This window comes from Homo sapiens, chromosome 1 (genome assembly GCF_000001405.40).
Source record: "Homo sapiens chromosome 1, GRCh38.p14 Primary Assembly".
In the NCBI taxonomy this organism is placed as follows: Eukaryota; Metazoa; Chordata; class Mammalia; order Primates; family Hominidae; genus Homo; species Homo sapiens.
The window spans coordinates 29,244,363-29,270,284 of NC_000001.11; the positions used below are offsets into that span (position 1 = coordinate 29,244,363).

Genomic DNA, 25,922 nt, shown 5'->3' on the forward strand with positions numbered 1-25,922 from the left:
ATTGGGGGAACAACTGAGGGTTGGGGGACAGGTGGATGATAGAACAAGGAGATGTGGGTGATAAGATAAGAGGTGGAGATAAGAGGTGACAACTGGGAGCTATCAGAAACCTAGTGGATAGGACAGGTGAGTCTCAGCTGAGAGTGGGAAATACATTGCTTAGAATGTGTATGTATGTGTGTTTACAGGAGCGTGCATGTGGACTTGTGGCTGGGCATGCCTGTCAATATGTGTTTGTCTAGCGTGTGGTGGTTAAGAGCATGGGTTCAGGGCCCAGACCATCTGGGTTCTAATCCTAAGCCCACCACTTCTAGCTGTGTGATACTTTGGTAAGTTACTGACCTCTCTGGGCCCTTAGAGTTCTCATTTGTGGAATGGGGATAATAATAGGACACACTGCATGCGTTTGTCATGAGGATATGTTTTATGGTTATGATTATGTAGGTTAGAACAGGTCCTGCACATAGTAAGCACTGTGTAAGTGATCACTGTTATGATGTGTGTATTTGCATGCGTGCGGTCATCCTGTGTGCCCAGAAAAGTTTGTTCTTGGTTTCTGATGAAGTCCAGGCCTGGGAGGGAGTAATAGTGGTGGGGACGGGGGTGGTGGTTGGGGAGTGCCTAGCCAGGTTGATTGAGTCTGGCTCTTCTCTGACATCCTAACCTCTTGTTCATCCTACTTCCTGCTCACCCTGTCCCAGGGCCTTATCCAATAATAGGTCTTTCTCTCTATCTCTCCTCTGTCCTGCCCTGGGCTGGGGGCCAGGGGCTGTACTTTAATTGTCTGAGAGCTTTACCAGCAGAATTTGAATTCATTGTTTTCCTGCCAGCATGCTGGGATTCTGCTCAGTTATAATACCTGGACAATGTGCTCGATTCTAGATGGCCTATCCTGTGGGTGGCAGTGGCTTCAGCCTTTGCCCTTGGAGAGTCACTGGGGTGGAAGATGTTGGAGGGAGGGAGACAAGCCAGATGAGATTTCGGCCCCCAACTTGTGGGGTGAGCCAGCGTGGCCGGGCAGAGCTGTAGGTAGAGAGTTTTCCAGGGATCTGAGCTCCCCTCTCCTCCAGTGCATCACAGGGAGGCATCATGACCCTCCCAGCAACACTGTTGCAGCGTGCCAGGCTCTGGACTGCTCTGGATGTGCACTGTCTGGGATTCCTGGGTCCAGCCTCCTTGCACAGCCCTGTGTCTCAGCCCTCTACTTCACTGGGATTGCTGCATTGCATTGAGGGTGTGCGTTCTCCTGAGTTTCTGCATGCTCTGCCTCTGCATTGTCCCATTGGACCGTGCCTCCATCCTGCCATGATCCTGCCATGGTCCTGCCATGTGTGTGTCTTTGCTGCTCTCTTGTATACTGTGTCACTCTGCTGGATGTCAGTGTTGCATTGGGAAGGTGAATTCTCCTGGGTTTCTGGGCGGAGCTGCTCACACTGCACCACTGTCTGAGATCAACACATGGTTTTCTGTGGCCACATTGCATGTTTGTGTCATAGAGCATTTATATTCTGCACCCCATTGCCTCACCAGGCAGTCTACATTGCATTGGGCACATGGACTCTTTTGGGGTTTGGGCATAGCTCCTCGCATTGCAGCACTGCACCGTGCCAACAGATGGCATGCTACCACAACATTGCATCTTGGCATCACACAGCATCTCTGTACTGCACTGCACTATTGCATGGACGTCAGTATTGCATCAGGACTGTGAACTTTTCCTGAGTTTCTGGGCATGGCCCCTCTGCATTCCACAGTTGCATTGTACCAACAGTGCACTTTGCCCCATATAGCACTTCTGTGCATGTGCACTGCTTTGCTGCACTGGATATGTGCCTCATGGCCCAGCCCTTGCACTGCACCACTGCTGCTGAAACGCTGCCCCTATGGTGTCCTGGCCTTTCACGCTCCTACCACCATGGTATCTGTAGGCTGGCGTCCTTTTCCAGGTTTTTGTTGTCAGCCCTACGTGAACAACATCTTTGCATTGAGTGTCCTCACTGCCCCACGTTGCACATGACTCAGGGAGTCTATATCTATAGTACAGCTTGGGACCACTTTCTTGGGCTTCAGGACTGGCTTAGGTTTGCAAAGGCAGCACCACTGCACAGTATCTGACATTGCATTCGTGCACTGCACAGGATTACTGCCCAGGGCCTCTACCCTGCAACGAACCTGTTCACTGTTGGGTTGTGTGCACTCTACCGGATTGCGGGACCCAGAGCCCTTGCGTTGAATCCACTGGTTCCACACAGCATCTATTTTTTTTTTTTTAAGATGGAATCTCACTCTGTTGGCCAGGCTGGAGTGCAATGGAGCGGTCTGGGCTCACTGCCACCTCCGCCCCCTGGGTTCAAGTGATTCTCCTGCCTCCGCCTCCTGAGTAGCTGGGATTACAGGCATGTGCCACCAAACCCAGCTAATTTTTGTATTTTTACTGGAGACGAGGTTTCACCATGTTGGCCAGGCTGGTCTCAAACCTCTGACCTCAAATGATCCACCTGCCTCGGCCTCTCAAAGTGCTGGGATTACGGGCATGAGCTACTGCGCCCAGCTCCACACAGCATCTTAATTGTACTCCATTTTGTGCCACTTCCTACCCATGCCTCGAGTCTGCACATACTCTGTTCCTCAGGACTGTATTTATTGGGCTTATATGCTAGGCTGGGTTGCCGCACCCTGCAGTTTCTTCTTCACTCACTGCCCCTTTCCCATCCCCTTATCTCTCTGTTGTTCTGTGTGCCTGTGCTGCATGTCTATGCAGGGCACACACCCTTCCCCTGAGAATGCATGAAGCTTGAACTAGTAAGGCTTAAACTTACCATCTTGGCATTCCTCCATACACCTATCACGTAGCACTGGGTGCCAGCCCAGTGTACCACTAAATGCACTGCAGTGGCGCGGTGTGCCTTGTGCAGCTCTGGGTCATGCCCATGATGGATGTGGCACTTCCATGGTGCATCATGGCCCTGGCCAGTTCTGCCATGCTGTACCAGATGTCTGTAATGAGGCCTGTGCACACTGTGGGCTCTGCTCCCTGCATTGTATAACAGTATTCTGTCTCTACACTGCAAAGCTGCTGTACTGCACCCTCCACACACTGCACTGTGGCACAGCAGAGGCCTCTCTCCATGGACCTTTATGAAGTACAGATCGTCACACTGCTCGGGTTTGTGCACAGCCCCATGCCCCTCTACTCTATACTCTGTCTTCGTATGTCGCAGGGTGTCTGTGGGGCAGATCTGTGAACTCTTTGCACCACTGCACCACTGCACAACATAGTCCTCCATTCGGCCCTTTTCCTCTGTCTGGCATCCAGCCCTGGCCTGTGCCTTCCCCTCATACTGCCAGTGTGGCAGCTCTACTGCTAACTCTGGGATTTGCAGCACATATTGATCAGGGAGATGGGGAGTGGGCCTGGCATAAGGTCCCCTGCTGTACTTGGTTTCCTTCCATTCTCCGTGGAGATGGCAAGATGTTGGCATTGTCAGGCTGTGTGTTGGCTCTGTGGGTGGTGCTAGCTCAACTTTCCCTGTGGCCCAGCCCTGGGCGATCTTTCTGGTTGCAGCTATGGTGACTCCTGGGTGATTAGAAAATGGGCATACTGCTCCCAGCCCTGACTACAATTAATGACCCATCAGTTTGTCAGGGCTCTTCGGGCAGCTCTGGGAGCCTCAGCTTAGGTCTAGATGAGTTGACTTGGGCAAGGAGAGTAGCAAGGTGGGCTGGGCCGGGCCTCTGGGCTGGAGTCATGGTCCTAGAGCTGGGTGTGGTTGGTGAGGGTCAGACTAGCTGGGATCATGGGGTCAATAAGTCCAGGCACTGTTGGCTATACACAGGGCTTGGGATGGGGTTCAAATGCATGAGACGTGGTCCTTGACCTCAGGCAGGGAGGAGGTAGGGATTAGACAGGCCTGAGATGGAGCTGTAGCTGGGGTGGAGAACCCAGGATGGGGCTGGGTTAGGCAAGAAAGTCAGGGGTGAGTCCAGTGTTGGTTCCAGGCTTGGGCTGGGCTGCTGAGAATAGGGGTACAACCTTGGATGATGAAATAGTCCAGTATTGTTGTTGGGGTTGTATTTGAATTCCCCCACCCACAACTGGGCATGTACCTGGGCTTGGGTGAAATCCCAGCCCCTAAATGTGCAACCTGTTGGGAAAAGTTTTGCTTCTCCTGGGACCACTCTTGGGAATTGGATGTTCTATTGACAAACCAAAGGGCAGAAAAGTCTCATTGCAAACAGGCTCTGTTTGCCAGGTGTCTTCAGAAAATACTGGTTGCAGCTGCAGCCGCATTGGGCATGGAGTGCTGTTCCCTGTCTGGTGTGAGGAAAGTCTGGTGCACAGTGCTTGTGTTCACACTGACACATACACGTATGCACAACTCCCATCTACCTTACTGCACACACCCACCTCCCCCTTAGGTGCAGGCTTACCACTAAATATGCCCTGTACCTTTGCTTGTAAATGCACGTCTATACACCCACGGCTTCACAGCGCCTGCCCGGGAGACCTCCCCTTTCCGACACCCATGCCCACCCTCATGCACCTCTGCCCCAAGATGACTCTTGCTCACGTGCACACTCACGCAACTGCAACCGGTCATCTGACCTTAGCGGTCCCCACTCTCATTTTACAGGTGAGGAGGTAAGGATTCAGAGAGGGCAAGTCACCTGCCCAAAGTCACAAAGGGACTTAGAGGCTCAGTGGGAAAAAGATCCCGGTCTTCCGCCTCCCATTTGAATACTTGAAACTCAGTACCAGGCTGTCCTGTCATCTTAGAGCCATGAGTGCACGTGTGCACACACACACACGCACACCTGCACACACTCACACGCACACCTGCATGTGGACACATGCATGGGGAGGTGTGGAGCCCCTCCCACCAGGGAGACCCCTCCCACACTCCTCCAGAGGCAGCTCTGCCCCTTACATCACCCCATCCTGAGCCCAGCCGGATGTGGCTAAACCATCCCCCTGCCTTCCCAAATTGTGGCTGACGGTTGCTCAGGCAACCGCCTGCCAGACTGGGGAGATTAGCTGAGGAATGTAGCTGGGCCAGTTTGAACTGAGGCTGGGGGAGCCCTTGGGGGTCTTGGGTTGATTCAATTCACCCTCTCAGGGAGGCCTCTGTAGAGATGGGGTGCCCAAGGGCAGGCATTCTCCCTGTTCCCAGTCTGAGGCTGCATCCCCAGGCTTGGCCCAGGCTGCAGAAAGGGAGTGTGTGTGAACACTGAGCGCGGGGCTCAGGGCATATGTGTGTTGTGTGCTGTGCACCTCTCTGAGTGTGATTGGAGGGTGTGCCGTTTACATCCTGGAAGGGGACTTGAGGCCCCTGTCCTCACCAGTTTCTGACATCTGACTCTGGACCCCTTGGTGGCTTGGTCCCAAGATCCCTCTGGATCCTGCTGTGCTCTCTGGAGACACCACCTGCCCTACTCATGGCTTATAGGATATATCATTTATCTCATCTGAATCCAGGATGAGATAAACTTTCCTACTCAAACACCTACTGTGGCTTCTCAATTCAAAATGAGGCCCAGCTCCTCACCCTGGCGTTCAGGGTCCTCCATGATTGGCCTCAACCTCCCTTCCCTCCAGTCATAGCTCCCATGGCTTTAGCCAACCTGGGCTCCTTTCTGTGCCCTGGACAAACTGTGTTTATTGACCACCTTGCTTTGCTCCCCTGGGTCTTTTGCCACAAATCCTTCCACCCATCTCTACCTATCCTTCTTGGCTCTGCTTAGATGCCGCCTCTTCCAGGAGGCCTTTCCCCTCTACCTGGCCCCCTCCCCTGGACCCCCTCTTGTGGCCTTGACTCTTCCCTTATTCCCTCATTCCCTCTTCCTCACCCTCACTGGGACTAGGAGGTCCCTGAGGGCAGGGCAGAGTCTTCATCATCCTTGTACCTCTAATAGTGCCAGCCTGGGACCTGCTTTGTACTGGCAGGGAAAAATCCCCTGTGAATGAAGCTGAATTAACACTTATGGCCAGCAGAAGGGCAGGCTTTGTTTTGTTTGTGCCCAGTCTCCTGGAATAAAGATAGGAGGTTTAAGTCTGAGCTTCTGCACATTGTAGCTGCATGGCCTTGAGTAAGCAGCTGTATCTCTCTGAGCCTGTTTTAATCTGTAAATTAGGAATAATAATAGTACCTAATAAACTAACAATAAGACAAAAATAATACTACCTACCTTCTGAGTTGCTGAGGATTCACCGGCTCAGGTGGTCATGGTGGTAATTCACAGCCCCTTCATAGAGGTATTGATGTGTATATGTGCATGTCTGTGCCCATGTCTGTGTTGATGGAGTCAAGAAGGATTCCTTGCTACCATTCTTGCTCTGAACTCAAAGTCGGATTTAGTGGCCTCCAGCAGGAGTTGAGTCTCTAGCAGAGCTGGGACTTGGCTTTGGGGCTTTTGGCTCCTAGCTGACCATTCCCATCTCAAGGGACCAGGGGAAGGGGTGAGGGTGGGGCTCTCCTTAGGGAGCCTGTCCCCAGAGATGTTACCCACTATGAGCTGGAGCTAGAACTGGGTCTGGCCCAGAGACACAGGTCTAGAGACGGACATGGGTCAGGGAGAGGGAGTGAATCTGGTTAAGGAATCACTCTGAGGCTGGGTACAGTGGCTCATGCCTGTAATCCCAGCACTTTGGGAGGCCAAGGTGGAGGCACCACTTGAGGCCAGAAGTTTGAGACCAGCCTGGCCAGCATGGTGACATCCCCATCTCTACTAAAAATACAAAAACAAGCTGGGTATGGTGGCACGTGCCTATAATTCCAGCTACTTTGCAGGCTGAGGCACGAGAATAGCTTGAACCTGGGAGCTGGAGGTTGCAGTGAGCGAGATCATGCTACTGCACTTCAGCCTGGGCAACAGAATGAGACTCTATCTCAAAAGAAAAAAAAAAAAGGAATCACTCTGGATGCGGTCAGTCAGTCAGCCCATCCAGAGTGACTCCTTGGAGGTCACCTTGGCCGGGGTCAGTTGTAGGGGTCATTTGGCAGAGGTCAGGGGTCACTGTGGCTGGGGTGTGCAGGTCTGGGGTCAGTCAGTCTGATGGTTATTCTGGCCGAAGTGAGATAGTCTGGGGGTCATCTGTATGAGGCAGAGGCCACTTTCAACAGGGACAGTCAGCTGGGAGCCAGGCTGGCTGAGGTCGGCCTATTTGGGGGTCACCAACTTGGATCAGTCTGGCTGGGGATCATAGGACTGTTGTCAGTCTATCTGGGGGCTCCTGTGACTGAGGTCAGGTGGTCTGGGTGTCACTCTGACCAGGTTAGTCAGTCTGGGAGTCCTGGCCGTTCGTGTGGCCTGGCTCAGGATGAACAAGAGGAAGCCAAGGGGCTGGCACTCCCAGGCTCTCCCCAGGGTGGTGAGTGAGACATCAGGGCAGCGGCTTTGTTACTTGTGAAGGAACAGGAAAGGCCTGAACCCCATCCAGGGCTTTAGATCCTGGGCTTCCCTTTCTGGCAACCCCTCTACCTCAAGGAGGCCTTGGCTAAGAGCCTTAGGGCAGGCCCAGCTCAAGCTGAAGTCAGCTGGCCTCCTCCTCCAGGAAGTCCTCCCTGACCACCATGCTCTCTCTCTGTACTTGCCATGTTCTTTCTCTCTGCTGCACTGTGGGTCTTTTTCTACAGGGGAAGCTGAGGCCCTCCAGGTACAGATGGGGTTAATACCCACCTCCTACAGGCAATAGGGTATGATGCTGACCAGGGATTTTCAAACAAAGAGCCAAAGAGCTCAGCCAAGGTCCTGCCTCAGCTCTGGAAAGAGTCTTCTGTTACTTCATCCCAACTGCTTGGTGCCATCCTCACACCCACATCTCACCATTTCAGGAGAAGACCGGGAGCCCCCAGCAGTGAGGAGCCCCTTTGTGCCTGGCTCTTCTGGGTGTGTTTTTCTTTTTTCTTTCTTTTTTTTTTTTTTGAGACAGAGTCACACTCTGTCACCCTGGCTGGAGTGCAGGGGTACCATCTCAGCTCACTGCAACCTCTGCCTGCTGGGTTCAAGTGATTCTTCTATTTCTGCCTCCCAAGTAGCTGGGACTATAGGCATGCGCCACCACACCCAGCTAATTTTTTAATTTTTAGTAGAGATGGGGTTTCATCATGTTGGCCAGGCTGGTCTTGAACTCCTGACCTCAGGCGATCTGCCTGCCTCGGCCTCCCAAAGTGTTGGGATTACAGGTGTGAGCCACCGCGCCTGGCCTGGGTGTGTTTTTCATGTGCTACTTCACATCATCCGCATCACCGCCTAGAGGAGTTGCAGCTGCAGATGAAACAGTAGAGCCTCCTAAAAGTGAAGTCGCTTGCTGCGTGTGAAGATGCCTAGCACTGGGCCTGTGACATAGCACTCACTCCCCAGGTGCTGTTGTTTGGGAAAAGCTCTCTCAAACGGTGTTTTTCCTCTGCCCTCCCACCACCACAGCAGCAGTCATCAACACAGGAGGCCTCTGTGACCAAATGTGTGGGGGCTTCTCCCCACCACCAAGCAAGCAATTAATTCTGTAGCAGACACCAGGTGGGTGTCCTCCAATTCAGTTCTAGCACAAGAGTCAGATCCCATGGGTTGAGGGCTCAGTCCCCATGACTGCCTCCTCCTCCAGACACCAGTCGCAAGTCTGGGCCTCCAGAACTTCTGGCCGACCCGCTGCAGGTTGGGGTTCCCACGACCCCCTCTTTGAGTTTGATTAATTTGCTGGAGCAGCTCACAGAACTCAGGGAAACACATTAACTGGTTAATTATAAAGGATATTGCAAAGGATACAGATGAAGAGATGCATAGGGTGAGGTATGGGAGAAGGGACATGGAGCTTCCTTGCCCTTTCTGGACCCACCATCCTCCAAGAAGCTCCATGTGTTCAGCTGTCTGGAAGCTCTCCGAACCCTGTCCTTTTGGGTATTTACGGAGGTTTCCTTACATAAGCATGATGGACAAATGTGATTGCACATAAAACACCTGATCTAAACCCAGCAAGGCCTGTCTGCTTAGACTTTACTTGGCCTTTCCGTGGCATTCCTTCCTCTAGGGTATGGGGCAGGACCCTCTCTGGAATGACCCATGATTAGATTAGAGCCCTGCCTTGGACAGGTGAAAGGAGGACAGGAATAGGTCAGAGAGAAATTTTGTTTCCTGAGGCCTGTTTCTGAGGCCTAAAGTGTCCAACATTATAACATAAGACTGTACAAAGGGTTTTATATATATAAATAAATATGTATTATGTTGTGCAAAAGTAATTGCTGTTTTTGCCATTACTTTAAAAAAATGGCAAAAACTGCAATTACTTTTGCACTAACCAAATATATGTAAATATCACAACTATCTATACCTCTCCCTCTTCTTCTTGAGATTGGGAAGCAGCTCAGGTCTGCTCCTTCTGGTATCGAAACCTCTTTTGGTGGGAAGCTTGGACTTCATCATCTGACCCACATGGATTCAAATCCCACCTCTGTTCCCTAGTAGACTTGCATGGTACACATAAGAGCTGCTATTTCCTGAGTGCTTAAGTATGCTAGGCGTTGTGCTAAGTGGGCTACTACATCAAATCCTCAACAAGCCTATGTGCAGATAGGGAAACAGAGGCTCAGAAAGAGAAGCCACCTGCCCCTGGTCACAAGGTTTGGCAAATTGCAGTCAAGATTTGATCCCAAGTCTGTGATGCCAAAGCCCACTCATTGATCCACCACGTGGTGCTGTGGACAAATCCCTTCACTCCTCAGATCCTCAGTCACATCATCTGTCAAATCGGGAGGAGTACCAGTGGCTGGCAGGTACCCAGGACAGGGTCTGGCATGGTTTGCGCTTGCTTCCTCGCCACTTGCTTGGGCATTTTCCTGGGTTTCTGATGCCTCAGGCTCCTGATGGGGCTCCAAACACTAAGGTTTGGGAGTGAGTGCCAGGGAGAAGCTTGCAATTCCTTTCTGAACCAATAGTGTTCTCAGGTTTATCAGGCAACCAGCTCAGGCCTTTGATGAACTCACTAAGATATATGGACCTCATTACCAACCAAAGGACTCACATGTATTTCAATCCTCACTTCCTCCCCTCTTTCTCATTTCAACTGTTAGTACTGGTTGCAAATCATGGGAAGTTGCTTCATCTAGTCAGTCATACATGTGCCTAGTCCACACATGACTGTGCTTTTGCATGTCACATTCCTGCAGGCAGAGACCTAATTTGGCCGACTTTGGGCAATGACTGAATTCCATTGACATCTGTCAAGTAGGAAAAATAGTGGTGCCTGACTCAGAACGCGTGGCCTGAACGAGGCTCTGTACTTACGCCATTTAGCATTGTGCCCGGCTTGAGTGGATTGGCGGCAACTGTTGTTTTTAAAGGAGATCTCATTGGGCTGGATTATGGCATGCATGGTCCTGCCAGGCCCAGGGCCCACTGTCTGTCCTCTATGGGAAGATAGAGGGGCAGGTGACAGAACACTGAGTAACAATCCGGAGATCTCAGTTCAAACCCCACCTCCATCACCAGTGACCTGCGTGACCCTAATGAAGTCACTCAGCCTTTTGGGGTCTCAGTTTCCTTATCCACAAAGTGGAGATGATTCTATTCCTGATCTTATGGGTTGTTGTGAAGTTCCAATAATATAGCAATCCTGATAACTAGTTTTTGAGGAGGGTCTTTGATGGATGACTGAGCCAGTGGTGGTTGGGGGGTCCTGGGAAGTACTGGGGGAGTTGGCAGTGTAGGGACATCTTGGTATTGGGAGGGGACCTTGGTAGAGGGAGAGGGTGGAGGAGGGAGAATTTCACTAGAGGGAGGGAGCAGTGTGGGGAAGGGCCTGAAGAGAGGGAGGAGGGCAGGTGGGCCTGGGTAGAAGGGAGAGTGGGGCTACCCTCCAGGAGCCCTCCTGGCCAGCAGCCCTGCCTTAGCCTGGGCTAACCAGGCCCTGCTCTCACAGCTGGCTGCACCTTCGAGGAGGCAAGTGACCCAGCAGTGCCCTGCGAGTACAGCCAGGCCCAGTACGATGACTTCCAGTGGGAGCAAGTGCGAATCCACCCTGGCACCCGGGCACCTGCGGACCTGCCCCACGGTAAGTCTACTCTCCATCGCCATTACCCCTTCTTCTCCTTCCAGAGGCACTTCTACCCACCTGCTGTGTGACCTTGGGCACATTACTTAACCTCTCTGGGCCCCATCTACATTTGCATCTTTAATGACATACGTGACACTGAATGTGGCTTTCTCTGGACACTGTCTAATTGTGCATGTCAGCTAGTTTCGTGTGTAAAATGAGTGCAGGCCCTCATGGCTGTGAGCTAAAACTCACTTCCAATTACTCCCCTTGCTGCCTAGCTCAGGATCCAAACCACTCCCACTCTCAGTTCTTCCTAAATCCTCCATCTTTGAGAGGCTCTCTTCAGAGATTCTTTTCTCCCAAAGAGCCCCTGAATCCTGGTCTCTCCAGGACTTGAAGATGCTGAAAGAGCAGTAACACTGGGACTAGATGTGTATAAAACCTTCCTTCCTCTGCCCTCTTCCTCCTGGAAGTCCCAGATTCTTCTCGACTTCTACCTTGCTGTGTTCCTATTTCAAGATGGGGCACCTTTGTCATCCTGAGCTCTGGACTGGGAGTCAGGAGACTAATAATATGGATTCTAGTACTGACTTCCTGCTTTCATCATGGCCCCTAGAACACTCATTCCAGAGTCACGAAGACCTGGGCTCAAACCCTGTCTCCAGTCACTTTACCAGCAGTGTCACTTAACGTATCTGAGCCTCCATTGTCTTCACTGTAAAATGAGGCAAACAGGACTCCATTTCAGAGGGTCATGAGATGATGCATATAAAGTACAGAGCACAGGGGTGGCATGCAGGGGTCAGTTATTTAATTGCTATGGTTGAGGGTCTTTGGGGGCCCTGATTACTAGTACTGCTCTTCACTGGATGCAGGATCAACTGGGAATTAAAAAAGAATGAGACAAATAAAGGCCAAATTGTCAACTTTATTACTGATAAGGGCTGTGTCAGAGGACAAATCAAATGGGCTTTCCGAGTGAATCCTGAAATTCCACAGCCTGAAGCCCACTCCCTTTGCCCCATCACACTAGTGCCCAGGGTGTTTACTGCCTAGCTCACGTCATGGCTGAGATTGCATCTGTTGTCAGGGAGGGGCAGCAAAGATTCTCAGTGGTGGGGCCAGGACTTGAAGCCACTAGGAGAGAAGACCTTCATGACCTGGCACAGGCGCCTCCTGCGGACTCTCATGGCTTGCCCCGCCTCCCCTTCTGTGCATTTGCTCACACTGTGCCCTTCCTGGGGCACTTATCTCTGCCTCTGCAGGTGTTAGTGGGTATCACAGTTTGCCTTCTCTGAAAATAATCTGTAAAGGTACCCACCATGGCAGGGACCTCGTGTGGGCCTCTCCATATTCCCAGGGCCCAGCCTCAGTCTGATACATGGTTGGCAGTCAGGTACAAGGCAGCTGATTGGAATTCACCTCTTATAGTACTGACCACCCTGAGTGCACACTGCCTCTCTTGTCACGTGCAAGCAGAGACATACCCAGTGAGAAAGGGGAGAGGGGAATTTAGCAATTAGTGTGAGCCTTGTGCTAGGTCTTGAGGATGTGGTGGTGAGCCAGATGGACAGTCTTTGTCCTCCTGGTTCTCACATTCTAGGAATGGGAGCTGGTGGTGGAGGGAGAAGAAAGGAGGGAGATTCACACTCAGAGATGGAGAGAGGAGAAGGAAGAGCGACAGGGACAAAGGGAGTAAATGAAAGAGAAGGGGAGGGATGTAGTGAGCCGAGGAGGAGGCAGAGGGAGCAGGAGGAGGAGGAAAGAACAAAGTGTCAGATTGGAAGAGGGAGAAAGATGCACACAGCTGCTCGCAGGGAGAGGAGAGAGAAGTAGCATGAGTGGGCCAAGAGGGAGTGTGTTGGGGGTTGAGAAGTGCCCCTTCCTGGGTGGGGATGGGGACTTGAGTTTAGTTTACTACTGCCCTGCTGGGACTGATCCAGGAGCCGCCTCCATAGGGCTTCTAGCTTACAGAGATGAATGAGATCGCCTCCAGCAGAGTCCCTGGGGAGCCCTCCTGGAGCGGGGATCTGAGTGAGCTTGTGTTGGCTGGCAGCCAAGCCCGGGAGGAGGCAGCGCTGGGTGGTTTCGGGTGCCCTTTGGGAAGCCCAAATCCCCCCGCCAGGTCCTGAGCCAGCCTAGTCCACTTCTACTCCACCAGTACCCAGCCTGGGTCTCTGGGGAAGGGACAGGCTGCCTTTCTCCAGGTTGGAAGTCAAGGGGATTTGTATTCCAGGAATTTAGACTCAGGGATGGGGGCTGGAAGGGAAGTTGGAATCCTTTCATTCAATCTCTGTTCTACATATTCATTCAGCTTGCGTCCTGAGGCCTCACAGCCTGGTGGGAGACACACAGGCACTTTAGTAATGACCCAGGGGGCAGGAGAGAAGCCCAGGGTGGGAGGCAGAGGGAGGGCTTTGGAAGGGGTGGCCTTTGAGGGACTGTTGTGTGCCAAGCTCTTGACTCCAGGGATGAATGACCTAGTCCCTGTCTCCAGGGATAGCTCAGAACATGGGGAAAGCTGTGGTTAGGCTGGGCATGGGCATTGTGACCTGTAGATTGTAAGGAGCCATAATTTTTTTTTTCTTTTTGAGACCGAGTCTTGCTCTGTCACCCAGGCTGGAGTGCAGTGGCGTGATCTTGGCTCACTGCAACCTCTGCCTCCCAGGTTCAAGCAATTCTCCTGTTTCAGCCTCCCGAGTAGCTGGGACTACAGGCACATGCTACCACACCCTGCTAATTTTTGTTTTTTTAGTAGAGACAGGGTTTTACCATATTGGTCAGGCTGGTCTCGAACTGCTGACCTCAGGTGATTCACCCACCTCAGCCTCTCAAAGTGTTGGGATTATAGGCGTGAGCCACCGCGCCCAGCCTTTAAATGGTTTTGACAAAGTCAGGTTTGTGTGTTTTTTACTGCTCCAGGTCTCCTGTGGGAAACAGATGCTAGGAAGTGAAGGGACTCACCCAGGGAGGTGGAGCTGGGGCCAGAACTCAGAATCCCTGACTCCTGGTGGGTCCCGTTGCCTGGAGTCCTCCTCAGTGCTCCCCTTGCCCTGGCCCTGTCCCTCCCCTGAGGTCTCCTCATCTCCTGCCTCTTCCTCCTCTCTTTCCAGGCTCCTACTTGATGGTCAACACTTCCCAGCATGCCCCAGGCCAGCGAGCCCATGTCATCTTCCAGAGCCTGAGCGAGAATGATACCCACTGTGTGCAGTTCAGCTACTTCCTGTACAGCCGGGACGGGCACAGCCCGGGCACCCTGGGCGTCTACGTGCGCGTTAATGGGGGCCCCCTGGGCAGTGCTGTGTGGAATATGACTGGATCCCACGGCCGTCAGTGGCACCAGGCTGAGCTGGCTGTCAGCACTTTCTGGCCCAATGAATATCAGGTGGGCTGGGTTCAGTCAGCGGTCAGCCTGTGCCTGGAGGTGGGGCAGATGGATGTCAAATTGAGGTTGGAGTAGATGAGTGGCTGAAGTTAGAATGTGTCTGCATTCAGTATCAGAGGCAACCTGTGGTCAAGGCCAGGGGTCAGTCTGGGGCCAGTCTGGGTTCAGCATCTGAGGTCATTGTTCCTAGGAATAGCCTCTGGCCCAGGTCAAGGGTGAGTTGGAACAGTGCTGACCTGGAAACTCTGTCTGGCTGCTTGAGGGTAACTGTCCAGGATTTGGGTGGAAACTGGCCTCCACCTTGTTCACTATGGGCGCTGGGACCCCACCCCCAACTAGCTGGCTTGGGAGGGAGGGTCAGTGTGAGCTGGGCTGACCTCTGCTAGTTGAGGCAGAGGAGGCTGAGGCCGAGCTGAAAGTGGGCACCTCCCCAGGCAAGGCTGGAGGAATATCAGTATGATAGGGGCCCTCCCGCCTCCCCCAGGTGCTGTTTGAGGCCCTCATCTCCCCAGACCGCAGGGGCTACATGGGCCTAGATGACATCCTGCTTCTCAGCTACCCCTGCGGTGAGTCCCAGCCCACTGGGGGCGCAGGGGTAAGGGGTGTGGGCGGCCGCGGCTCCTGCCTGCAGGGGGTGCAGGCCCAGCTCACGATGCAGCTCTAACCCCGCAGCAAAGGCCCCACACTTCTCCCGCCTGGGCGACGTGGAGGTCAACGCGGGCCAGAACGCGTCGTTCCAGTGCATGGCCGCGGGCAGAGCGGCCGAGGCCGAACGCTTCCTCTTGCAAGTGAGCGGGAGCGGTGATCTTGGCTGGGGGCGGGGTGGGAGGGGGTTGGTGGCTGCTTCTGGCCCTGACTCCCCCCAGATTGCTGAGTCCCTGCTTCATACTCCAGCACTGCGCACAGCGTCCCGGCCCTCCCCTAGCTCTGCTCTGCGCTTTCTTGGGTCCCCCATTCCCCCAGGTTAGAGCGCGGCTCCAGGAACCTATGTCCGCGCGGTGTAGTAGGGACGGCTAAATGGGGCCCGGGTCAGAGCGAGATCGGGACCCCTCGCTCCGAGGCGCCCCTGACCCCCTCACTCTCTTCCCTGCAGCGGCAGAGCGGGGCGCTGGTGCCGGCGGCGGGCGTGCGGCACATCAGCCACCGGCGCTTCCTGGCCACTTTCCCGCTGGCTGCCGTGAGCCGCGCCGAGCAGGACCTGTACCGCTGTGTGTCCCAGGCCCCGCGCGGCGCGGGCGTCTCTAACTTCGCGGAGCTCATCGTCAAGGGTCAGCTGGTGGACGCCGGGGAGCGCCGGGACCTCACCCTCGAGGGGCGGGGCCGGCGACGGGGGCGGGCTCTGCCCGGGGGCGTGGCCGTGGGGGGTGGGGCCGGCAGGGTGTCGCTGGGGCGCTATCTGAAGATGGGCCTGTGGAAATGGCAGTGGCCCAGCCGGGATGAGATCTGATCTAGGGGTCGGGGCTGGCTTCGAGGGGGACGGACAGGGTCAAGGTGAGAGCCTAAAGAGGGGTGGGGTTCTGGCTGTGTGACTTCTGTGTTGATCCTAGCTGGCCTGCGGTCCGCTCCAGGAGGCGAGGATGTGGGGGATTAGGAGGGGCCTGAGAGAGGGGTTGTGGGCTGATGGGCGAGGGCGGGGTCAGCCTTTGGAGCCAGGTGCCCCTTAGGGCCCGGGATTTAGTGGGGGTAGGAGAGCGGGTCTGGTTGAGGGCTTGGTAGCAGCGTGAGAGGCCCTAGGAGGACGGAGAGGGATTTGGGTGTGGTGGAACTCAGAGTTGGGTGCTGGGGTCTCACAGCAGCATCGGTCCGCCTCGCCTCTCCCCCATCTCCTCGCAGAGCCCCCAACTCCCATCGCGCCCCCACAGCTGCTGCGTGCTGGCCCCACCTACCTCATCATCCAGCTCAACACCAACTCCATCATTGGCGACGGGCCGATCGTGCGCAAGGAGATTGAGTACCGCATGGCGCGCGGGCCCTGGGCTGAGGTGCACGCCGTCAGCCTGCAGACCTACAAGCTGTGGCACCTCGACCCCGACACAGAGTATGAGATCAGCGTGCTGCTCACGCGTCCCGGAGACGGCGGCACTGGCCGCCCTGGGCCACCCCTCATCAGCCGCACCAAATGCGCAGGTGGGTGCAGCAGCTACCCCTGGCCTCAGTCTCTGGTGGGCCCAGGGCTATGGAGGGGCGCATTCGAGAGGTAGCGTGGCCTGTGCTTGTAAACCTTTCTAAAACATTGTGATTTTTCCTCAACCCTTGTTATGGTAAAGATAATGATAGCTAATACTTTACTTTGTGTCAGGCACTTAAACATATCTGTGTGTAGACACACACACAAACCCATATTTATAGATTTAAAACTTACAACACTACCACGATGTAGGTGCTCTTGTCGTACCCATTTTAGATGTGACTGAGGTACAGAGATGTTAAGTGACTGGCCCAAGAGCACACAGCTAGTAAGTGGCAGAGATGGGATTGGAACTCTTGACTGGCTGACTCCAGAATCTGTGTTCTTAATTCTACATCTAGATAAAATAAGCAACTAAATACCATCAAATACAAGTATATTATACATTCTAGCTGGTTTCTCTTGTCTGGGTGTTGAGCCTGAGGTCTGCTCTTCCTTGTTAAAAAGGGCAAAGCAGCTGTTGGAGGATGGTACACCTGTGCCAGATGAGGGTCTTTTTTGTTTAATCAGAAGAGAAATTGAGAACACAATAGGTTTTTCTTTTTGTGACTTTAGTATTGTTGTTGTTATTATTTTTCCTTTTGAGACAGAGTTTTGCTCTGTCACCCAGGCTGGAGCACAGTGGCGCGATCTTGGTTCACTGCAACCTCCGCCTCCTGGGTTCAAGTGATTCTTCTCCTGCCTCAGCCTCCCGAGTAGCTGGGATTACAGGCATGCTCCACCATGCCTGGCTAATTTTTGTATTTTTACTGGAGACAGAGTTTCACCAGGTTGGCCAGGCTGGTCACAAACTCCTGACCTCAGGTGATCCACCCGCCTCGGCCTTCCAAAGTGCTAAGATTATAGGCGTGAGCCACCGTGCCTGGCTTAGTGTGTTTTTTTAATGGACTTACTAAGATAAATGTAGAGTCACATGCAGTTGTAAAAAAAATACAGAAAGATTCTCTGTGCAAGTCACCCTATTTTCTGCAGTGGTAACATGTTGCAAAACTATAGCATAATATCACAGTCAAGATATTCACATTGATACAAACCACAGATCTTATTCAGACTTTTCTGGTTTTGCTTGTACTTGTTTGTGTGTGTGTATATGTGTATGTAGTTCTGCACAATTTATCACATGTGTAGGTTTGTGTATTCACCACTACAGTCAAAATACTGAATAGTTCAATCCCCTTAAGGACTCTTTTATAACCACATTCACCTCCCTTTCTTCCTCTACTCCCCAACTTTTGGTAGTCACTGATCTGTCCTTTCTAAAATTTTGTTGTTTCAAAAATATTATATGAATGAAATCAGAGTATATAACCTCTAGAATTGGCTTTTTTTGGATAACAGCTTTATTGCAATATAATCCACATCTCATACAATTCAATCCTTAAAATGTACAGTTCAGTGGTTTTTAGTATACGGTAGTCCCCGTGTATCTGAAGTTTCTCCTTCTATGGTTTTAGTTACCTGTGGTCAACTTGAGGCTTGAAAAGGTGAGTACAATACAATAAGATATTTTGAGAGAGAGAGACAGACCACATTTGTATAACTTTTATTATAGTGTGGTGTTGTAATTGTTCTATTTTATTATTAGTTATTGTTGTGAGCCTCTTACTGTGCCTAATGTAGAAATTAAACTTTATCATAGGTGTGTATGTATAGGAAAAACATAGTTTATCTAGGGTTCGGAACTCTCTGTGGTTTAAGGCATCCACTAGGGGTCTTGGAATGTGTCCCCTGCAGATATGGGGGGACTACTGTATTGACAGAGTTACACAACCATTAACTCAATTAATTAATTGAGTCAACCATTAACCATTAATCAATTTTGGAACATTTTCATCACCTCAGAAGGAAATTTTGTACTCTTTAGCAGTCATCCCCATTTCACTCGCACACCTCTAGCCCTAGGCAACCACTAATTTCCTTTCTGTCCCTATGGATTTGCCTCTCTGTGGACATTTCACATAAATGGAATCATATAATATATAATCTTTTGTGACTGGCTTCTTCCATTTATTTTATTATTTATTTATTTATTTATTATTAAGACGGAGTTTCACTCTGTCGCCAGGCTGGAGTGCAGTGGCGTGATCTCGGCTCACTGCAACCTCCACCTCCTGGGATCAAGGGATTCTCCTGCCTCAGCCTCCTGAGTAGCTGAGACTACAGGCACCCACCACCATGCCTGGCTAATTTTCGTATTTTTAGTAGAGATGGGGTTTGGCCATGTTGGCCAGGCTGGTCTCGAATTCCTGACATGAGGTGATCCGCCTGCCTTAGCCTCCCAAAGTGCTGGGATTACAGGCGTGAGCCACTGCACCTGACCCTTCTTCCATTTAACATGATGTTTTCAAGGTTTATCCTCATTGTAGCATGTATCAATACTCCATTCTTTTTTATTGCTTAATAATATTCCATTATACAAATATATCACATTTTATTTGTCATTCATCAGTTGATGGAAATTGGGGTTGTTTACACTTTTCAGCTATTATGAACAGTATTGCTATATTTGTGTACAGGTTTTTATATTGATATATGTTTTCATTTTTCTTATGTACCATATATATCATAAGATATCTCTGTGTTTATTCATTGAGGAACTGCTGGACTGTTTTCCAAAGCAGCTGTACCACTTTAAATTTCCACTACTTGTCTATGAGGGTTCTAGTTTCTCTGCATCCTTGTCACCACTTGTTATTATCTGTCTTCTTATAAGCACTCTAGTATATATGAAATGGTATCTCATTGTGATTTTGATTTGCATTACCCTGATGGCTAATGATATATCGAGCATTTTTTCATGTGCTTATTGACCATTTCTATATCTTCTTTGTAGAAATGTCTTCAGAGTGTTAAAAATGACCAATTTTTAAGTTGGGTTATTTGTCTTTTTATTATTGAGTTGTAAGATTATTTATATATTCTGAGTAGGCCGGGCATGGTGGTGGCTCATGCCTGTAATCCCAGCACTTTGGGGGGCCGAGGAGGGCAGATCATTTGAGGCCAGGAGTTTGAGACCAGCCTAGCTAACATGATGAAACCCAGCCTCTACCAAAAATACAAAAATTAGCCAGGTGTGGTGGTGGGCTGTTGTCCCAGCTACTCAGGAGGCTGAGGCACAAGAATCGCTTGAACCCGGGAGGTGGAGGTTGCAGTGAGCTGAGATGGTGCCACTGCACTCCAGCCTGGGTGACAGACTGAGATTCTGTCTCAAAAAAAAAAAAGGAGTATTTATATATTCTGGACACTAGATGCTTATCAGATGTTTATGTTTGCAAATACTTTCTCCCATTCTGTGGATTATATTTTCTTTTTCTTGATAGTTTTTTTTTGAAGCACGAAAGTTTTCAATTTATCTATTTTTTTCTTTTGTTGTTTGTGCTTTTGATGTCATCCCTAAGAAACCATTGCCTAATCCACAGTCATGAAGATTTACTCCTGTGTTTTTTTCTAATAGTTTTATAGTGTCAGCTATTACATTCAGGTCTTTGATCCACTTTGAGTTAATTTTTCAAATGTGGTGTGAGGTAGGGATCCAACCTCATTCTTTTTTTTTTTTTTGAGACAGAGTTTCACCCTTGTCGCCCAGGCTGGAGTGCAATGGCGCAATCTCGGCTCACTGCAACCTCCGCCTCCCAGGTTCAAGCGATTCTCATGCCTCAGCCTCCTGAGTAGCTGGGATTACAGGCGCGTGCCACCATGCCCAGCTAATTTTTATATTTTTGGTAGAGACAGGGTTTCACCATGTTGGCCGGGCTGGTCTCAAACTCCTGATGTCAGGTGATCCACCTGGCTCAGCCTCCCAAAGTGCTAGGATTATAGGCATGCGTGGCCAACTTCGTTCTTTTGTATGTAGATCTTTATTACCATTTGTTGAAAAGTCTATTCTTATTGAATTATCTTGGCACTGGAATTGGTTTCTTTCATTCAGCATAGTTTCCTTCATCCAAGTTGTGTATATCAGTAGTTTATTCCTTTTTATTACTTTTTATTACTTTTTATTCCATGCTGTGGAAATGCCAGTTTGTTTAAACATTCACCTGTTGAATGACATCTGGGCTGGTTCCACTTTTTCATTATTACAAGTAAAGCTTCTGTGAGCATTCATACAGAGGTTTTTGCATGAACATAACTTTTCATTTTTCTGGGATAAATGCTCAAGAGTACAATCAATGAGTCATATGGTGATTGCATGTTTAGTTTTATCAGAAACTGCCAGAGTGGCTGTGTTGTTTTATACTCTCACCAACAACGTATGAGTGATCCAGTTTTCTGCATCCTTGCCAGCATTTAGTGTTGTCACTATTTTTTATTTTGGACTTCCTGAGAGGTGTGTAGTGATATCTCATCATGGTCTTAATTTGCATTTCTTCAGTGTCTAGTGATGTCGAACATCTTTTCTTTTCCTCTTTTTTTTTTGAGATGGAATCTCACTCTGTTGCCCAGGCTGGAGTGCAGCAGCATGATCTCAGCTCACTGCAACCTCCACCTCCCAGGTACAAGCAATTCTTGTGCCTCAGCCTCCCGAGTAGCTGGGATTACAGGCACACACCACCACGCCTGGCTAATTTTTGTATTTTTAGGACAGATGGGGTTTCAGCATGTTGGCCAGGCTGGTCTTGAACTCCTGACCTCAAGTGTTCTGCCCGCCTCAGCCTCCCAAAATGCTGGGATTACAAACATGAGCCACGGCACCTGGACAAACATCTTTTCATGTGCTGTTTGCCATCTGTATATCCTCTTTGGTGCATCATCTGTTCATGTCTTTGAACATTTTCTAATTGGATTATTCTTTTTGTTGTTGTTGTTGTTGTTAAGTATTGAGAGTTTTTTGTACATTCTAGGTACCAGTCCTTTGTTAAATGTGGAGTTTGTAAATATTTCCTCCCAGTAGCTTGTCCTTTCACCCTCTTTATATGGACTTTCACAGAACTATTTTCAATTTTGATGAGGTTCAATTTGTAAAATTTCCCTTTTATGAATTGTGGTTTTGGTATCAAGTCTAAGAACTCCTTGCCTATCCCTGTCTCCCAAAGATTTTCTCCTGGGTTTTTTTTTTTTTTTTTTTTTTTTTTTGATACGGAGTTTCACTCTTGTTGCCCAGGCTGGAGTGCAATGGCATGATCTCAGCTTACCACAATCTCTGCCTCCTGGGCTCAAGTGATTCTCCTGCTTCAGCCTCCTGAGTAGCTGGGATTACAGGCATATACCACCATGCCTGGCTAATTTTGTATTTTTAGTAGAGGTGGTTGGTCAGGCTGGTCTTGAACTCCTGACCTTAGGTGATCCGGCCTCCCAAAGTGCTGGGATTACAGGCATGAGCCACCGCGCCTGGCCTCCTGTTTTTTTTCTAAAAGTGTTATAGTTTTACATTTTACATTTAAGTTTATGATCTATTTTGGGTAAAGTGTGAGGTTTAGGTCAATGTTATTTGTTGCTAATCAATATTCGTAAGTGTTTTAAAAAGCCAATCTGTGAATTATCTAAAATCCAGTTTAAAGCCACACTTTGGGAACTCCTTGGATGGTAGGTCTAAAATCTGGTTTAATGTCACACTTTGGGAGACCCTTGAGTGGTGGGTCAGAATGTTCCAGTGGGAATTGCTTTCTAGTGAAGGGGTCTGGGTCAGGTTACTTAACCTTTCTGAGCTTCAGTCCCCCTGTTTTACAACATGGGAATAATAACATTTACCATATAGGGTTAGTTTGAAGATTTATTCAACGAATGCTTATTGAGTGTCTATTACGTGCGAGGTGCTATTGTGGTTGGTAGGGATATATGACTATAACCAGGACAGACAAAGGCCACCAACATGTGAGTTCTTCCTGGAACTCACATTTTGGCAAGAGGAGATAGATAATAGATGAGTAAACAAGTGAAGTATACAGTTGGCCTTTGAACATCACAGGTTTGAATTGGGCAGATCCACTTACATAGATTTTTTTTTCACTCACACGTGCATCAAAAATACGGTATTTGCGGGCTGGGCATGGTGGGTTATACCTTTTATCCCAGTGCTTTGGGAGGCTGAGATGGGAGGAATGCTTGAGGCAAGGAGTTTGAGACCAGCCTGGACAACATAGCAAAACCCTGTCTCTACAACACAACAGCAACAATAATTAGCTGAATGTGGTGGCATGTGCCTGTAGTCACAGCTATTCAGGAGGCTGAGGCAGGAGGATTGCTGGAGCCCAGGAGATCAAGGCTGCAGTGAGCTAAGATTTCACACTGCACTCCAGCCTGGATGACAGATCAAGATCTTATCTAGAGACAAACAAACCAGCAATACAAAAAACTCCAGTGTTTCTAGGGCCTGTATATATGAAGGGCCAACTATGGGACTTGAATATGTGTGAATTCGGTTATATGTAGGGGTCCTAGAACCAATCCCTGGCATATACCGAGGGAGGACTTTATGGCCTGTCAGATGGTGATAAGTGCCGTGAAGAAGAAAAGCAGGGAGTGGGGCCTGGAGGGTTGTTATTTTTAAAAGTCTCAAGGGAAGGTGACATTTGAGCAGAGATCTGAAGGAGGTGAGGGACTGAGCCGTGCAGAGAGCTGGGGGCTTGCTGGGGGAAGCAAGCACCAGCCCGACTGAGCAGCCAGCACAAAGGCCTGGAGGCTGGAGAATGCTTGGCACGTGCAAGGGGCATCCAGGAGACCAGTGTCACTGTGTTAGTGACTGAGTGGGAGATGGCAGGAGAAGAGGCTGAAGTTGAGCTGCAGATGTGGGACTTAGAGCCGTTGTACACAGAGAGAGCTGGGGAGCCACTGAAGAGTTTAGAGAGCAGGAGTGAGCATCATCTACTTTTGTTTAAAAGGATCACTCTGGCCCTTTTGTGGAGAATGTTCTCCAGGAGGGCAAAGGTGCCGCAGAGACCAGGGAGGAGGCTACTGCAATGATCTGCTTAAGAGGTGGTGATGGCTGGGAGCCGAGTGGAAGTGGTGGTGGTGGGGAGAAGTGGTCAGATTCTGGGTTTATTTTAAAGGCAGAGCTAACTGCATTTGCTGATGGATTGAATATGGGATGAGAGAAAGGGAAATAGAAGTCAAGGATGGCTCCAAGGTGTTTTGCTAGAGCAGCAGGAATGATGGAGCTGTCATTTCCTGGAGCGGACTGTGGTGGCAGCTGATTTGACGTGGGTGTCATAGATCAGGAGTTCTGTGTTGGAAATGTTGACTTCGAGATCCCTATTAGACATTCAAGTGGAGATATTCATCAGCAGATGGATACATGAGTGTGGAGTTCAGGGAAGGGGTTCGGGCTGCAGATAGAAATTTGAAAGTCATCAGTGTGGAGATGGTATAGATGGCATTTAAAGCCCTGAGGTTGGATGAGATCTTTTACGCTAATGGTTCTCAACTAGGGGCAATTTTGTCTCCTAGGAGACATTTGACAGTGACTGAGGACATAACCGTTGTCACAACTGGGTGGCGGCAATGGGGTGTTACTGGCATCTAAAGGGATAGAGGCCAGGGAAGCTGCTAAACATCCTACAATGCACAGACAGCCACATAAGAAAGAATTATCTAGTCTAAAATGTTCATAGTGCTGAGGTTGAGAATCCCCGATTCAGTCCTTAGATTTTTAGGGAATAAATGTAGATGGAAGAAAGAGGAGTTGGAAAGCCTGAACCTTGGAGCCTCCAGTGTTTTGGGTTAAATGCAGACAATTGCAGGGAAATGCATTAAATGCATGTGAAGTATAGCGCTTAACACACAGTAAGCACCCAGTAAATGATGGTGTTTTTAATCTTTCAAAGGCAGTTCTGGTTTGCCACTTAGGATAAAAGGAATCATAGCACAGGGTTCCGCAGAGGATCTCTATTGCACTCCCCTTAGTGTACAGATGGGGAAGCTGAAACCCAGAGAGGGGAAGAGACTTGGCTGTGATCAGACAGTGGGTCAAGAACCCAGGTTTCATGATGACGGCTGTTGATTATTCCCATTTTACAGATGAATAAACTCAGATTTAGAGATTTAGCCACTTGTACAAATCTACACAGTGAGTCCATGGCAGAGCTTGAATCAAAATTTGAATCTCTTGATTTCTCATCCAGTGTTTTGTTTTAGTTTTTTGTTTTATTTTGTTTTTAGAGACAGGGTCTCACTCTGTCACCTGGGCTGGAGTGCAGTGGCACGATCATAGCTCACTGCGTGCAGCCTTGAACTCCTGGGCTCAAGTGATCCTCTTGCTTCAGCCTCCTAAGCAGCTGGGGCTACAGGCTTGCACCACCATGCCCAGCTAATTTATATACATATATATATATATATATATATATATATTTTTTTTTTTTTTTTTTTTTTTTTTTTTGTAGAGACAGGGTTTCACTCTGTTGCTCAGGCTGATCTTAAACTCCTGGCTTCAAGGGATCCTCCTGTTTCAGCCTCCCAAAGTGCTGGGATTACAGACAGGAGCCAGTGCATCCAGCCTAATCCAGTGTTTTTAACAGCAGCAGCAGCAGCTGCTGCTGCCACCATCATGGGCTGAATGCCCACTTTGTGCTGGGCACTGTGAAACAGTTTTCATAGGCTGGCCAGGACGGAAGCTGGGGCAGGGGCCTGGCAGACAGGGTGCAAACACCTCCCCCTGCCCTTCTGAATTACACGGTTCTCTTTGTTGACATCATGGCCCCTCCCTGCTTAGGCGCGTTGGCCGGCAGTTGTTTTGCTGTTGGCCAGCTGTGTTGTCATCTCCTCCATCCCCATGAAACTCCCCTCGCACTATATTATTTACTGTAAAAACAATAATATAGCATCAGGCGAAGGCATTTTTTAAAATAAGCACTCCGAAGCTCATCATCCTAGCCCAACAGCTGTTTTAATTTTTCTGACTTCTTCACATCTCTGCCCATATGCCTGCAGTAGACATTTTTACACCCTTGCATTGGGATGTAGAAAGCATTTCGTATGCTGCTTCATTTGCTTGGTGTTGTTACGTGTGTTATGTTGTTTATAATTATGTTTACTGACTCTAGAAGTCCATTGAATGTCCCCATTTAGCTGGACTGTTTGCCTCCAGACTTCTATAATGATAAATAATACTATATTGAGAAACCTAGCGCTTGTAGTTCTTCCCTTCTCCCCCCACCCTGAGTTATTTCTTTAGGATAAAGTGTCAGGAGTGGTTGAAGAAAGGGCTTTTAAATATATTGCTTTAAAAAATGGTTGTGCCAATTTATACTGCTACTGGCATCTCATGTTAATGCACACATGTTTATTAATTACTATAGACTGGTAATGACTGTAGGCTGGTAATGACTGTAGGCTGGGCAATTTGACTCATATTATCTCATGTAACTCTCACATTTGCTCTTTAAAGT

The 25,922-nt window shown here is 49.7% G+C and overlaps 1 protein-coding gene across 4 annotated transcripts in view, besides 5 other annotated features; it reads left to right on the plus strand.

Annotated features, from left to right (window-relative positions):
- PTPRU (protein tyrosine phosphatase receptor type U) overlaps nt 1-25,922 on the plus strand; it is a 90,279-nt gene that overhangs the window by 7,841 nt on the left and 56,516 nt on the right. For all 4 annotated transcript variants that reach the window (NM_005704.5, NM_133177.4, NM_133178.4 and 1 more), the window contains exons 2-7: nt 10,913-11,044; nt 14,143-14,414; nt 14,899-14,980; nt 15,087-15,202; nt 15,508-15,682; nt 16,248-16,541. In NM_005704.5, the coding sequence (NP_005695.3) occupies nt 10,913-11,044; nt 14,143-14,414; nt 14,899-14,980; nt 15,087-15,202; nt 15,508-15,682; nt 16,248-16,541 (1,071 nt within the window). The remainder of the gene's footprint in view (nt 1-10,912; nt 11,045-14,142; nt 14,415-14,898; nt 14,981-15,086; nt 15,203-15,507; nt 15,683-16,247; nt 16,542-25,922) is intronic.
- Nucleotides 559-1,060: an enhancer, noted in NCBI's record as "H3K4me1 hESC enhancer chr1:29571433-29571934 (GRCh37/hg19 assembly coordinates)". NCBI's record gives its function as "activates a minimal SCP1, AML or CMV promoter by ChIP-STARR-seq in naive H9 embryonic stem cells {active_cell/tissue: H9 hESC(naive)}" and the evidence as "EXISTENCE:reporter gene assay evidence [ECO:0000049][PMID:30033119]".
- Nucleotides 4,917-5,582: an enhancer, noted in NCBI's record as "H3K27ac-H3K4me1 hESC enhancer chr1:29575791-29576456 (GRCh37/hg19 assembly coordinates)". NCBI's record gives its function as "activates a minimal SCP1, AML or CMV promoter by ChIP-STARR-seq in primed H9 embryonic stem cells {active_cell/tissue: H9 hESC(primed)}" and the evidence as "EXISTENCE:reporter gene assay evidence [ECO:0000049][PMID:30033119]".
- Nucleotides 5,583-6,248: an enhancer, noted in NCBI's record as "H3K27ac-H3K4me1 hESC enhancer chr1:29576457-29577122 (GRCh37/hg19 assembly coordinates)". NCBI's record gives its function as "activates a minimal SCP1, AML or CMV promoter by ChIP-STARR-seq in primed H9 embryonic stem cells {active_cell/tissue: H9 hESC(primed)}" and the evidence as "EXISTENCE:reporter gene assay evidence [ECO:0000049][PMID:30033119]".
- Nucleotides 7,033-7,750: an enhancer, noted in NCBI's record as "H3K27ac-H3K4me1 hESC enhancer chr1:29577907-29578624 (GRCh37/hg19 assembly coordinates)". NCBI's record gives its function as "activates a minimal SCP1, AML or CMV promoter by ChIP-STARR-seq in naive H9 embryonic stem cells {active_cell/tissue: H9 hESC(naive)}" and the evidence as "EXISTENCE:reporter gene assay evidence [ECO:0000049][PMID:30033119]".
- Nucleotides 10,414-10,932: an enhancer, noted in NCBI's record as "H3K27ac-H3K4me1 hESC enhancer chr1:29581288-29581806 (GRCh37/hg19 assembly coordinates)". NCBI's record gives its function as "activates a minimal SCP1, AML or CMV promoter by ChIP-STARR-seq in primed H9 embryonic stem cells {active_cell/tissue: H9 hESC(primed)}" and the evidence as "EXISTENCE:reporter gene assay evidence [ECO:0000049][PMID:30033119]".